Below are 15,223 nucleotides of genomic sequence, written 5' to 3' on the forward strand. Positions count from 1 at the left end.
AAGAGAGAAGGAACGATTGCCTTCTTCCCTTTTATCCTCTTTGTGCTTCAGCATCTCCTCCTTCAGCTTGCTACTGTGGATTTATTATCTCTCCAGGATCTATACAGAGGAGGCAAAGTAGATAAAAAGGCAGGAGAGTTTTTACTTAGGCCCTGATATGGTTGTGTTGAGGTTTAAAGCAGATCCTTCCTCTTATGAAAATATTCATGGGTTCTTGGGAAACCCTCATCATAGAAAATCATGAAAATCGTTTTTTTAATTATTTTATCATACTTGAAGTTCTGAGAAAATCATGAAAATCTTTAACTAGCAGCCCTCAATGGAAGCACTCCCTAGAGCATTAGTCAGAACTCTTCTCTTCTTGGGTATCTAGCTGTATACTTTCAACATCTTTTTGTTGAGTTTTCCTTGCACCGCCAAGTAGTCCATTTGAAGGAGATCTGAAATGACCCTTGAGCACTCTTTCTTTCTCTCATATGTCTCACAATCTGACCAAAGAAAACTGCCTACATTTTGTATCACTTGGAGCCTAAATACATTCTGTATTACTTTCCTAGGGCTGCTGTAACAAAGTAGCACAAACTGGGTGGCTTCAAACAACGGAAAGTTATTTATTGTCTCATGGCTCTGGAGTTTGGTAATCCAAAATCAAGAGGATGTCAGGGCCATGCTCCCTCTGAACCCTGTAGGGGAGAATCTTTGCCTCCCCTAGCTTCTGGTGCTTGTCGGCATTCCTTGCCTTACAGGTGCATCATGCCAACCTCTGCTTCTGCCATCACGTGTCCATTTTCTTCCTATGTGTCTTTGTCTCTTAACTTGACTCTCAAAATTTCATCTGTCACATATGCCAACCAACACAATGGCAGCCCTGTGCTCTACTGCCACTGGACCCTCAAGCTGATATATGAGGCATTATTCCTCTCTGACTTCGGTGACTTTTTATTAGAAATTCAAATAATCACCTTTCACCCAAGAAAGGAAAAGAATACTTCTAGAAGATCTACAATGTCATTAAACTTGAGGGATTTTCACTTTCTGGCTTAAGGCTCTTTTTGTGATCATTTTCCAAGATTGGAATTGTATGTTTCCAATTGTTAATTTCTGGAGTCTTCTTGAGTGACTACAGACTAACTATTAGGCTTTTTAAATGCAATAAGTATTTTTTCATCACATTTTTAATCAGTTTTATTAAAATGCAATTAACAGCATCTCCTTTCGGAACACGGGTATTGTTAGCATCTATTAGATTAGGGCCTCAGTCAAGACTGAAGCTGAAATAGCTCCATATTTATTTACATACATAATTGTGAGAGTAGAATAACAATAGTTCTATTAAAGCAAATGCATACCAACCACATCTATAGTCAGAAATTTTATTCTTAAGGGTTAAAATAAGAAGCATATGTTGCGCAGAGAATTTCTATCTTCTCTGTTGTTTTCTTGGTGAGGGAAGCCAGATGAGCTTTATTACAAGTCATATGCTATTATTGGCTCATTAATATATAGTGTGACCATGAGTAATAAACCCAAAAGCATAATAACTGAAATCAATAAGTCATTCAGAAAACTAAAATTAGGCTGTAGTATAAATAGCTATCTCTCCAGATAATTTTTGGAGATAAATAATAAAAGTGGTTATTTGATTTCTTTCTCTTCTTTTTTGAGATGGAGTCTTGCTCTGTCGCCCAGTCTCGAGTGCAGTGGCGCGATCTCGGCTCACTGCAAGCTCCGCCTCCCAGGTTCACACCATTCTCCTGCCTCAGCCTCCCGAGTAGCTGGGACTACAGGTGCCCGCCACCATGCACGGCTAATTTTTTGTATTTTTAGTAGAGACAGGGTTTCACCATGTTAGCCAGGATGGTCTCGATCTCCTGACCTTGTGATCCACCAGCCTCAGCCTCCCAAAGTGCTGGGATTACAGGTGTGAGCCACCGCACCAGACCAATTTGATATCCTTCACCAAATTGGTTTGCAGGTGAATTCAGATGAGAATAAAATGGCCAAAAACAAGCATAAAATAGCAAACATGGAAGGCTAAAAAACTTAAAGAATAGGGGCAATAAAGAATGCAATAATTGTGTTAAGAAATGTTGAATACATTTAAAATGATAAAAGGTAAAAAGGAGAAAGTGGTTTTACTGCACATGACTCATGCAGGCAACTAACTTTCTTAGCACCTATTTCTTACAGGAAAATAATTAGCTGCACACATAAAAGCTAAGATTAAATGAGAACAATTTGCAATCATTCTTGAGATGTGGAATGTTCATGATCACATCCCTATAACATGCACTACCACCCACTGCATAGCTCATGGCCCCATTGATCATAATTTCCATCCATCACATGCCAAGAGTTATATGAACTCTTCTTAAGAGAGAGGAATAATAGTTACTCTATCCTTTTTAAATTTCATCAGATAACACCTTTTCTTTTTCCTGCGAATATACTACTATAACTTTATTTGAGCTTATATAATTGCATATGTCCAAACCATTGAGTCAAAATGCTATTTCGTACTATTAAAAATATTTTACATACATGTACAATAGCACTCCTCCTCAATCTCAACCCCTCCAGTTACATGCTAGACTTAAACTGATTCCCTAATGTGTGCTTTATTCAACCATATCAGCTCACATTATTCCCTACTTAGTACTTCTGTGCAATTCAGACCAGCATCAGTGGCTTCCTGTTACACCTATGTGGTTAGAATTACAAAGGGTTTTGGTGAAAACCCAGCTGTGACATTCTCCTTTATTTCACCCCAGTCAAATGTCTGGCTCTTAGAGACCTTCCATTCTCACATAGAATCTGCTACCAACAGGCTCTCTTTAGTTTCCATTTTATGAATAAAAATTTTCAAACTTTGATCTCAGCTCCAGCTTCATTATCCCAAACTTTCCGTGACTTAGAATGAAATTTCAAAACAAATACAGTGCTTGAGGAACAAACACTCCAAGCAATTCAGGGTTCAGGTATGTGGGACTGAATGAATAACCTTAGGATATTTGAGAAGGGAATACAGTTTTCACTCCTGTCTGGGACAGTCACCTTTTCTAAACCTTATTTTCTCCCTTTTCTTGTCTGTTCTTCCCTGACAGCAAGATGCTTTGTATTCTTCAGCTCTCTGTGACTGCCACGATAATTCATTTACAAAAAAAATGTGTTATGTGTCTAATAAGTTACATCTTAGGAATATTTAAATTTCTAAATAATACCAGACAAAGGGAAGAAACTCTTTAAAAGGGGGACCAGTACAAAAATCACTGAGTTATAAAACAGGAAGTGACGCAAATTCTTCTTCCTTGGGTTTCATTGTGTGTGGTAGCTTATTCATCCAATTTTTCAACAAATATTTTTTAAGAGCCAATATATACCTTCATGGTGCTTGAATTCTTTTATCTTATTTCAATTTGTTCTGTACCAGTGTTAGCTGGACATTTGTCTAGCTTCCCTCTCACTTGTGGACTAGTTTCAAGAACAAATTGAGCTGATTGTATGGTACAGTAGTGCCTTATATATAGTACTCACTCAATAAATGAGGAATTTAATTCGTTCTCATCTAGTTCCCCATTGGAAAAAAAGTGCATTGTAATCTTAAGGGACTTTTGCAATATTCTACATCTGGTCAGTGGAAAACAAAATAATTCACTAGCATTTTAGGTGCCAGTATAAAAAACACTTTTTGCATAATGTTAACAATCAAATCATACCATATTGGCACCGTCTGATTCAAATTTGAATCTTTAGCACCAATTTATTTGAAAATTATACTTTTAATTTTTACGTTCTCATAACTATTAAGTTAACTATTCCTGGTTGGTCCTGATGCATTATAGAATTTTATGATCACTATGCAGTGTGGCCTGACAGGATCTATGGCAGGAACAGCCTCACTATGCTCAGAGTGCATTCGTAAGAAAAGCTTCAGTTTTAAGAGGAGTGATATAAACCTAGAATGACAGGGGAAAAGGGTGACCAGATGTAGGATGAAAATACAGTTAAATGAAAAATGGCTAAGGAATCAGAGGATTTTGGACCTTGAATATCAAGAATTTCAGGGGCCCCATTAATGCTATTTTCAAATCTTTGAAGGTGTTGAATTTAGTAAATGAATAAATGATTTATGTGTGTCTTCAGAGACAGGAATAAAACCAAAGCTGAAGAAAAAGAAAATCAATTGCTATCAGTTTAACTATAACTAATTTATTGAATCAGTTGGACTCAGTAGGATACAAAAAGGAAGAGCAAGAGAGTGAGTGAATAAGAGAGAGAGAGAGAAAGAAAAAAGGAAGAAAGAAAGAGAGAAAGAGGAAGGAAGGGGAAAGAAAGAGAGAAAGAGAAAGAGAGAGAGAGAAAGAGAGAAAGAGAGAAAGAGAAAGAAAGAAAGAAAGAAAGAAAGAAAGAAAGAAAGAAAGAAAGAAAGAAAGAAAGAAAAAGAGAAAAAGAAAAAGGGAAAGGGAAAGGAAAGGAATGAAGGGAGGGAGGGAGGAAAGAAAGAAGGGAGGGAGGGAGGAAGGAAGGAAGGGAGGGAAAGAGAGATAAAGAATAAGCAAGCAAGCAAGGTTTTGCCCTCTGACCTTTCATATACACCCCTAGGGTGTTTCTCTTTCCTCATCATTTATTGGCATCTAGGACAAGCCTCTCTGCCCACATTTAGTCACAAGAACAGTCTCATTTCAGTACTTTTCAAAGCCCCACCCAATAATATAAAAAGCTTTGAATCTTATCCTATTTGAAGCTTCTCCCTTCCCCTGTATCTGGCTGGAAATATGAAGTGCATGAGAGATTGGCCTCCTCTCTCTTCCCAGCTCCACTTCTTCCCCTCACTCCCTAGCTACTCTGTGATGGCTCCCAGGTCAGACCCAGGTAGTGAGAGAAGATTAGGCAGAAGCGGCTCAGTTGTATGCGGTTGGTTGAGTTACTTTCAGGGCTTTTTTGCTGACAGTGTTTCTCAACAGTGTTTCTGCAGATTCCTAGAAACTCTTCTACTGGGTATTCCTCCACTGCCGGTCAACCTGGGCAAGGCTGCTCCTCCAGCCGGCTGCTTAGGACTAATCTGGGCTTCTGCTGGGTCCCTCTGCTGTGCTCTCCTTGTCCCTTCAGGCAGTCCTTTTGGGTGGAATCCTTTTCAAGCTGACCTACAGCCAATTCCTTTTGGTGCGATTTAAATCTAGATAATAGTAAGGACATGCATTTGCCTACAGCTGGAGCAAGTGCAGCTCGTTCTATAGCTCACTCTCAAAGTCATTTTTCTTCCTTTTGACACCAGCAAAGCACAGCTCCAGCCACAGCCTCTCCCATTAGACCAAGAGTAACTCAAGTATCACATCTTCACACATCAAGAGCTTGACCAAAACGTTATTTCAGGGTTTTAGCCTGATTCTTCCTTGAAGGTTTCTCACTTAGAGTGCGGTGGAAAGTACCTTCTTCTCCCCTTATCCCAGTGACACAGAAAATGTTCCCCAAAGAAATGTCTTTCTGGAAGGCTTTCAACCCTGGCCTTTTATAGACGCCTGTGAATGAGTGATAACTAGTACAGGCAGGTCTAATTTAGGATCACCCCCTTTGCAAGTCTAGCTCCATGATTTAGAATGTTTTGTTCTCCAACTTTGGGCCTCCGGAGACAACAGAAAATAATTTTAGTGAACATCCTTTGGCTTACCTAAAAATGTTTCAATAATTCAGAGGTTCAGAAAATTTAACTATCAGCCTTATCAGCCTTGTGAACCCCTAGATAATTCAAGTCGGGGCTAAATCTCTATTTTAGACTGTGAGAGAACAGATAAGTCTCCAGCATAGATTGAGAAGGTGATAATCTCTAAGTTCCTTTTAGCTCCTAGGATTTGCTGATCCACAGGCTGCCTCTGTCAGATGAGCCGAGTGGTCTCCTAGTCTTCAAAAACAAACAAAAGGAAGAACATCAACAGAAAACCAGAATGTGATGCAACTCAATAAACATCTCCACATATCCTACTTGGCTATTATGTATTTGATCTCTTCTCATTTTGTTTGAGTTGGCAAATCATGATAGCACCAAGATTGTTATTTCAACTCTAAAATGAAATCTCTAGAGGGATAAAAGGAGAGTTCTGAGTTCAGATGTAATAAGTATTAAGATAATCAGTAGAGGCTTAGAAAAGAAAATAGTAACAACATTGGAACAATTAAGCAATGTGGAAATCTTCAACTCTATTTAAAAATAATTACAATAATGATAATTAAAATAATTTTATTATCATTTTCGTTTCCTTCGGGGTCTTTCATTTTAATTGCACTTAGGCATTTTCTTTCTCAGGCCAGAGTTAGTATCCTCCCTGCCCCCCATAACTTGCTTTGGTTTGATTTCTCTCCAGTAACTGAAAGAATTAGGTTAGCTTTTTCCTAATCTTCCTGATACTGAGGTGATCAGTAAATGCATTTTTTGCTCTCTGAGAAAACTTGGGTGCAGAACTTGTTACTTCTCTGAGTGGTCCTATGGAATACACACATACCCCATAAGTGTGAAATGTAGATTTGTCACCAGAAAGGGGTCCTGATCCAGACACCAAGAGAGAGTTCTGGGATCTTGCTCAAGAAAGAATTTGGGGTGAGTCCACAGAGTAAAGTGAAAGCAAGTTTATTAAGAGAGTAAAGGAATGAAATAATGGCTACTCCAGAAGCAGAGCAGCCATGAGGGCAGCTGGTTGCTGATTTTTATGGTTATTTCTTGATTATATGGTAAACAGGGGGTGAATTATTCATGCCTCCCTTTTTAGACCATGTAAGTAAATTCCTGACATTGTCATGGCATTTCTAAACCGTCATGTCGCAGGTCAAAGTATAACAGTGAGGATGACCAGAGGTCACTCAAGTCGCCATCTTGGTTTCAGTAGGTTTTGGCCAACGTCTTTACTGCAACCTGTTTTATCAGCAAGGTCTTCATGATCTGTATCTTGTGCTGACCTCCTATCTCATCCTGTGGCTAAGAATGCCTTATCTATCTGGGAATGCAGCCGAGGGGGTCTTAGCCTTATTTTACGTAGCCCCTATTCAAGATGGAGTTGCTCTGGTTTAAATGCCTCTAACAGATTTTCTAACATTTGCATAAAGAAAATGGAGAAGAAGGTTAACATTTTGCACCCTAAATCAAATAATTTAAAATTTCTCATATATTCTTGCCTCTGAAACCCCTCTTCAGCTAAACCTCCATGGAAGATTTTTTTTTCTTTTGACTTTTCACTTTCTTACTGCAATATCTTGACTTTGGATCCTTTTCTCCTCTCCCCAGGTTTTCCTCAGAAATTTCTCATTCTTTCCTCTACATGAGGAGTCATTTCACTACCTCAGCACCTATTGCACATTTTTTATATTCAAACACATTCCAGTCATGTTCAGCAAACAAAAAGAGCCTCAAACAGCTCCTGCCATCCTGAGAATACAATTTATCCAAGAACTTTGGCTACTAAAACACACTGACCACAGTTTATCCTCCTCATCCTTAAGGTTTATCAAGGTAGTCTTCTGAATGAGATGTTCTCCTTCTGTATTACTCAGTTTTCATGCTGCTGATAAAGACATACCCAAGACTGGGAAGGAAAAGAGGTTTAATGGGCTCACAGTTCCACATGGATGGGGAGGCCTCACAATCATGGCAGAAGGTGAAATGCACATCTCACATGGCAGCAGAAAAGAGAAGAGAGCTTGTGCAGGGAAACTCCCCTTTGTAAAACCACCAGATCTCCTGAGACTTATTTACTATCAGAAGAAGAGCACGGGAAAGCCCTGCCCCCATAATTCAATTACCTCCCACTGCATTACTCCCACAACACATGGGAATTCAAGATAAGATTTGGTGGGGACACAGCCAAACCATATCATCCTGTCCCTGGCCCCACCCAAATCTCATGTCCTCACATTTCAAAACCAATCATGCCTTCCCAACAGTTCCCCAAAGTCTTAACTCATTTCAGCATTAACTCAAAAGTCTACAGTCCAAAGTCTCATCCAAGACAAGGCAAGTCCCTTGCGCCTACAAGCCTGTAAAACCAAATGCAAGTTAGTTACTTCCTAGATACAATGGGGGTACAGGCATTGGGTAAATACAGCCATTCCAAATGGGAGAAATTGGCCAAAACAAAGCGGCTACAGGCCCCATGCAAGTCCAAAATCCAGTGGGGTAATCACATCTTAAAGCTCCAAAATGATCTCCTTTGATTCCATGTCTCACATCCAGGTCACACTAATGCAAGAGGTGGGCTCCCACGGCCTTGGGCAGCTCCACCTCTATAGCTTTGCAGGGCATAGCCCCCCTCCTGGCTTTTTTCACAGGCTGGCATTGAGTGTCTATGGCTTTTCCAGGCACACAGTGCAAGCTGTTGGTGGATCTACCATTCTGGGGTCTGGAGAATGGTGGCCCTCTTCTCACAGCTCCACTAGGCAGTGCCCCGGTAGGGATTCTGTGTGGGGACTCTGAACCCACATTTCCCTTCTGTGCTGCCCTAGCAGAGGCTCTCCATGAGGGCCTGCCCCTGCAGCAAACTTCTGCCTGGGCATCCAGGCATTTCTGTACATCTGATATCTAGGCGGAGGTTCCCAAACCTTAATTCTTCACTTCTGTGCACCCGCAGGCTCAACACCAATAGAAGCTGCCAAGGCTTGGGGTTTCCACCCTCTGAAGCAACAGCTTGAGCTATACCTTGGCCCTTTTTAGTCACAGCTAGAGCAGCTGGGATGCAGGGCACCAAGGGCTTCACACAGCAGTGCCCCACTCTACTGGTACCAATTTACTGTATTCATCAGTTTTCATGCTGCTGATACATACCTGAGACTGGGAAGAAAAAGAGGTGGTAATGGACTTTTCAGTTCCACATGGCTGGGGAGGCCTGTCAGTCATGGCGGAAGGTGAAAGGCATGTCTTACATGGCGGCAGACAAGAGAAGAGAGTTTGTGCAGGGAAATTCCCCCTTTTAAAACCATCAGCTCTTGTAAGACTTATTCACTATCACAAGAACAGCCTGGGAAAGACCTGCCCCCATGATTCAATTACCTTCCAGCAGGTCACTCCCACAACATGTGGGGACACAGCCAAACCATATCACCTTGCATTGATACATGTAATCTCAATGAAATAATGCAAATTTTCTTTATGCTTTGTTTCTCTGTTCTGCCAACTGAAGCTGAGTGGATAATTTGGGGTATTATTTTCCTCGGTAGTCACAGTAATCACTTTCAACCAGATGGCACAAATATATGAGGAAGCAGTTGTGCAAAGTGAAGAGGGTTCTTGGATCTTGCACAGCTTTCCTGTGCTCTGCATTTTGAAGATTTCTGAGTCAGCAAGCCCTGAAGACATCACCAATAGGATGCTATTTCTTCCCAGGGTCTGCCCATATTTCTCATGGCTCCAAGAACTACATTCCACAAGATTATTTTTATGTCCAACCATACATCTAGAAACTTGTTTAGATGGAAATAATGACAAAAATGACCCAGATGATTATCCTTTGAATTTATAGGGTACTTTTCTGAGGGACTCCAAATTCTTCTAAGGCTAGAAGTCTCCCCGTCACTTCTCCTCCCTAACTACCATAATCCAAAAAGTAGTGATTATACCTATACATGAAGACTTATTTCAAGAATTTAAATACTTTTTAAAGAGTTAACCATAAATACAGAGTCCTGGCATGTTCCACCCATACCTGACGCCAGGAATTATGAAATAGGAAGCTGGCAGTGAGTTACGGTGCCTACTCTGGTTGTAAAGTAGTTTACTTTCTGCCTGAGTAAAGCATTAAGACGTGCGTCAGGTATCGTTAGAGAAGTTGTTCAGCAACTGTCAGCCCCCAAATAATTACAGACCACAGTTTCTCCTAAGATGTGCTCCCCACTTTCCACCATGGCAGTAACTGCCTTACACCACCTGTTCCATCAGCATTGCATGTGAGAATGTGAGGGACAGGCCTGCTGCTTGCCTGAGGTTAATGATTACCCTGTGGATTTTCTCTACGATTTACACATTCTGATGTTTTCCTGCTGTGTATGATCACCTGGCAACTTTTACAGGGAAAGAAAGAAGTGCACTGCAGGTCAAGATTACCCATAGACTTTCTCACTGACTCTGAGTGTGTGTGGGTGTGAGTGTCGATGTGTGTGGTGTGTGTGTGTGTGTGTGTGCGTAATCAACAACATTGCTGCAGTACCTTTGAACCACATTGGAAAAGGAGGAACCAAAGGCAAGAAAACGACTTGAATCAAAATCATCTCTCCAAGTGTATTATTGATCCATAGAAGGAATGTTCTTGTAGGGTAGCAAAATGACTTTCATGAGGGCTATGTGCATACTGCTTAGGACAGATATTACTGCTCTATATATTTAAATTGATGTTTTGCAAAATAAACACACAAAAGCACATGACATGAACCTTCGTCAACATTCCTTAAATACTGCCTTTACTAAGGAAAGCACAGGTCCTCATGTGGTTAAGAGACCATAATTTTGGCCTAGGAAGCTAGTCTTTACGTTGAGAAAATGAAAGCCCTTCGAAAATTAATAGTTCTGCATGTCTTCATTCACTTTACAAGGGCACAACCATGCTGATTCCTGCACTGTAGCAATTTAAGGAGAGTAAGCATCAGCCTCACCTGAGAGATATGAATCATGATGTAATCTTCCCCAGATTGCCCCCATTCATCCAGCCTCCCACAACTTCCCAGTTCACTACAGTAATACACATCTCCTCCAGACACTTCTGAGAGTTGAGGCTGGACATCTCAGTAAATATGAACAGAGCCTCTTTCCCAATAAGTTAGCTAATTTAGGTTAGTACATTAAAATTCCCTGAAATGGTATTTGGAGTCTCTTGGAACATTTTATTCCTTAGGCAAATGTGGCCCAAAATAAAATTGCATATCCCCAAAATGCATCTGTTCCAGGGTTCAGGCCCATCCACAGAAAAATACAGCTGCCTCTCTGTGGCTTACCCTGCCTGGATCCCTAATGAGGCTCTGCTAATCTCCAATTCCTATAAGCGGCTCATTTCTTACTACATCTTGGGCTTACAGCTGTGTGGCTTTTGGGATGAGATTCTTTTTAAAAAGCTATGTTGAAAGGCAATCCATTTGATCAGAGGGAAATATCTTGACTTCATCTTTTATCAGTTCCCAGTGATACTTGGGCTGCAGGTGGAATCCTGCAGTTACCTTGTTTAACATTAAAAATAATTTCATTTTCCTGCCAGAAGCTGGTCTTACTGATCATGTTGCTGCTTAGAAGCCTGGAGAATCATGACTTTTACCTAACTTTTAGTAGTGAGAGATGGCAGATAATTCTAATTAAGAAAGAAACACAGATGGGGAGAAAGACTGCAATGCAGAACAAGAATAACAAGTCTACTGTAGTAGTGATTTCCATAATCCAAAAGAGAAAGGGAAATTGTCAAGGCAGCAGGAATTGCTTTCAAGAGCAGTCTCTACTCCAAGAATAAAGCAGAGATGCAGCTGAACTTACTCAGATGCTCTACTTCTTTCTTCAGTACGGTTGAGGATTTCAATTTAATCTAGTGCTGCAAAACCAACAGTTCAGTAGAAAACACCACCAATTCTGAAGGGAAAATCAGTTTACTATTGCATTAACTATATTTAAATTCAGAAGGTCTGAAGACATTTTCCCCAAGGCATTACTTATTTTCTTTACTTCAAATCATTAGTTAAATCTTCTTTTTGAAGATTTAAAATTGATAACTGTCAATGCCTGTAGTCCTGTGACTTGCTGTAATTGATAGTCTGCTGACTTGGGTGTCTAATACTGTTGTCAAATGATTGAATGTTTATTAATTATATCCCTGTGCCATGGCAATGGCTATTACCCAGGGCAGCATAACATGAATGCTAAATCTGAATACAGTACAGAGAAAATCTAAGATTCTCAATAAATCAGAACCTATTTGTATATATGGCTCTCATAACAGACAATAGATCTTCTATGTACAAGCAATAAAAAACAAGAAGCAAATCTACCTCTAGAATTAGAGAAGTCATAGCTTTAGGGTCAGCTAAACCTAACTCCATGTAAACACATGAAGAGTCTATATTGCCTTCTGGATAATCCATTTATTCACAACTTGAGTGGTTTATAACAGATACAACCAACTCAATAACTCACAAATGGAGAAAGTTGTGGAAATTGATCAAAGAAATACTAAACACCAAGTATCTCTCATTCAACACTGAAAATTTACAAAAATAGTCTTTAACATTCAGAATCTAAAGAATTGTTAATGAGCCTAAAGGACTTACCAGATCAGTGTCAAAGGTCCTGTAACCGAATGTAGAGAGAAATTTGGGTTCTGTTTTGGCTAGAAAGGGATAGTGAAACAATTTCAATTGGTTGACTATTGCGTATCTCACATTTTTTATATAGCTCATTTACTTCTCATGGCAGTGCAGATATTATTGTCTCCATTTTAAAGAAAAATAAATTGGGACCAAGATAATAGTAATAACACTTACAATGATTGTTTTTATTACTATTAGAGTTAACATTTGGAGGAAAAATATGTCAGTTAACCATACTAAGTCCTTTAACTGTATTATCTTACAGGAACCTTTCCAGAAAAGGTCAATATTTTCATCCTCAATTTATAGATGAAGAAATTGAGGCTTGCAGAGTTAGAATAATTCGCCCAAGATTACACAGCAAAAACAATAATGCCAAGATTAATACCACAGTCAAAAGCAGCTCTTTCAGAATTTGTCTAGCAGGATTTCTAGTTTTCACCGGAAAACCTCCCACAAAAATAAAACCAAACAACAACAACAACAACAAAAACCCAGTCACTTCTACCACCAATTGGGACAGATATGATATGCTTTACTTGCTATAAATCTGATAATTTTTCAAGTTACTGGTAATGTGAAATGTGATGGTCCTCTGTAAATTACCAGTAACAAGTGCAATAATTGAAAGTGTATGGTATTCACTAGGAAAATAAAGGCAATATTTAAAATATGAAACCTAGACCAGGCCCAGTGGCTCACACTTATAATCGCAACCCTTTGGGAGTTGATTGCTTGAGGCCAGGAGTTTGAGACCAGCCTGGGCAACATAGTGAGACCCTGTCTCTACAAAAAACACAAAAACTTAGTTGGGCATGGCGGCAGACACCTGTAGTCCTAGCCACTAGGGAGGCTGAGGTGAGGGAGGAAAGACGATTTGAGCCCAAGAGTTTGAGGTTGCAGTGACCTATGATTGTGCCACTGCACTCCAGCCTGGGCAACAGACCCTATCAAAAATACATAAATAAATAAAGCATGAAATCTAGTGTCAGGTATTTGTGGTCTAGTCAGTGATATACTCAGCAGGAGTATTACAGTTGTTAGTCCCTGCATTAGTATAGCAAATAAACAACTTCCATGAACTTCTTACCAAAAAATTTCATGGTGATACCAACATTGCTTTGAGCACCAATAAATACATTCATAGCTCATTATCCTCATCAGTTAACCTTCATCTTATAAAAGCACAATTAACTATTGACTTCATGATTAAAGGTTGTTCTCAATTTCAAGAGTGGGGACCCTTGAAGATTTTGCCAGCCAAGGTTACATTTGTTTTTTGATTATTGCTGTCTCAGCAAAATTATGAAATACCGGCCGGGCACAGTGGCTCACGCTTGTAATCCCAGCACTTTGGGAGGCCAAGGCGGGTGGATCACCTGAGGTCAAGAGTTTGAGACCAGCCTGGCCAATGTGGTGAAACCCCGTCTCTACTGAAAATACAAAAATTAGCCAGGACTGGTGGCACGCACCTGTAATCCCAGCTACTAGGGAGTCTGAGGCAGGAGAATCGCTTGAACCCAGGAGGCGGAGGTTGCAGTGAGCCGAGATCACGCCATTGCACTCCGGCCTGGGCGAAAAGAGTGAAATTCCATCTCAAAAAAATATATATATATATATATATATATATATATATAATTTATATTTATATGAAATACCTTAAGATCTACAAATTGATAAACAGAAAGTTCCAGGAAGAAGTTTGGAAATATTCTTGAATTGTACTAAAGCACCTACAGTATTTCAAAGTAATTTGCCAGACATGTTTTCTAATGTAGGTTTTATAGTTTCTGGGGTTTTTCTACTTACTGACTGCGTGAGGGGCCCAGGAACTATTAGAGTGTGCATATAACAGTGTGTGTCTCTCTACTTCCCAGGCTCCCTTGCAGCTGAGTTGGCCATATGACTGACAGCAAGCCCTGGAATGCAGCCAGAAGTGATAGAAGCCTCTTTCACACCATGCTCCTAAAATATTCCAAGAAATTTTCCAAACCTACTCTTTTTAGTCTGTGCATCTGGAAGTGAAAGTTTTAGAAAGGGTAAAGTCACTTAATGGAAAGGGCCCAGATCTAGCCCCTCGGAGCCAAGCTGTCCAACTAGAAATTCTGCATTAGTATTTGCGAGTGAGTATTAACCTTTGTCGGGCTAAGCCATAGAGAATTGTTTTAATTGCAGTCAGCCTGATTTTATAGTGACCTTGGATCCAGAATATTACTTAGATATTACTAGTATCTACTTCATAAAGTCTCTGTGAGGATGGAATAAGATAATGAACTCAAATGTAAAGCAACTCCTTCTTTACATGAGTTTGAGTCTGTAGTATAAAAATTGTAAGTTATGTGTTTTATGATATATGCCTCTAAAAATAAATACACATGCAATTATACACACACACACACACACACACAAGCATATATATATGTTTGTAAACTTACACCTCGCTCAGTCCATATATTCCTCCACTGTGAATAGAAATGTATAGAAAGCAAGCGGTCTTTAGGGTGGCTATTTGGTGGTTACCAGACATAGAAAAAGAAGGTAATAAAATATAAATTTTAGGACAGTCTTTCGCTGATTATGCCAGACTCCTACCAGCATCTTTCCACACCAGATCAATGGAACAGAAAATTCAATCATGTAGACTCATAGAATGGCAAGCCCACAGGGTGAATGAACTCAATATAGCTCTTTATATCGAAAGCCGAGAAATAGAGAATTCAGGTTTGTGTCTCAATATGATAGCCTCTGCATGTTACTATAAAGCAAATGTGAGCTTTTCCCAAGATAGAAAACTATTGTGACTGATTTCTGGGACTTTTAGAAGCCCCTCTATATGCAACTGAATTAGATAGCCAAAGAACTCTTCCTAACAGTGGTTATTTCTGCATCAGGTGGTAGAAAATGA

General features: G+C 39.7%; 1 long non-coding RNA gene and 1 pseudogene across 1 annotated transcript in view; both read left to right on the forward strand.

Annotated features, from left to right (window-relative positions):
* Window positions 1-15,223, forward strand: part of LINC00499 (long intergenic non-protein coding RNA 499) — a 114,634-nt gene that overhangs the window by 15,106 nt on the left and 84,305 nt on the right. The window lies entirely within an intron of this gene.
* On the forward strand, window positions 12,714-12,772 carry LOC124900888 (uncharacterized; annotated as a pseudogene).

Source organism: Homo sapiens, chromosome 4, assembly GCF_000001405.40.
Source record: "Homo sapiens chromosome 4, GRCh38.p14 Primary Assembly".
Taxonomy (NCBI): Eukaryota; Metazoa; Chordata; class Mammalia; order Primates; family Hominidae; genus Homo; species Homo sapiens.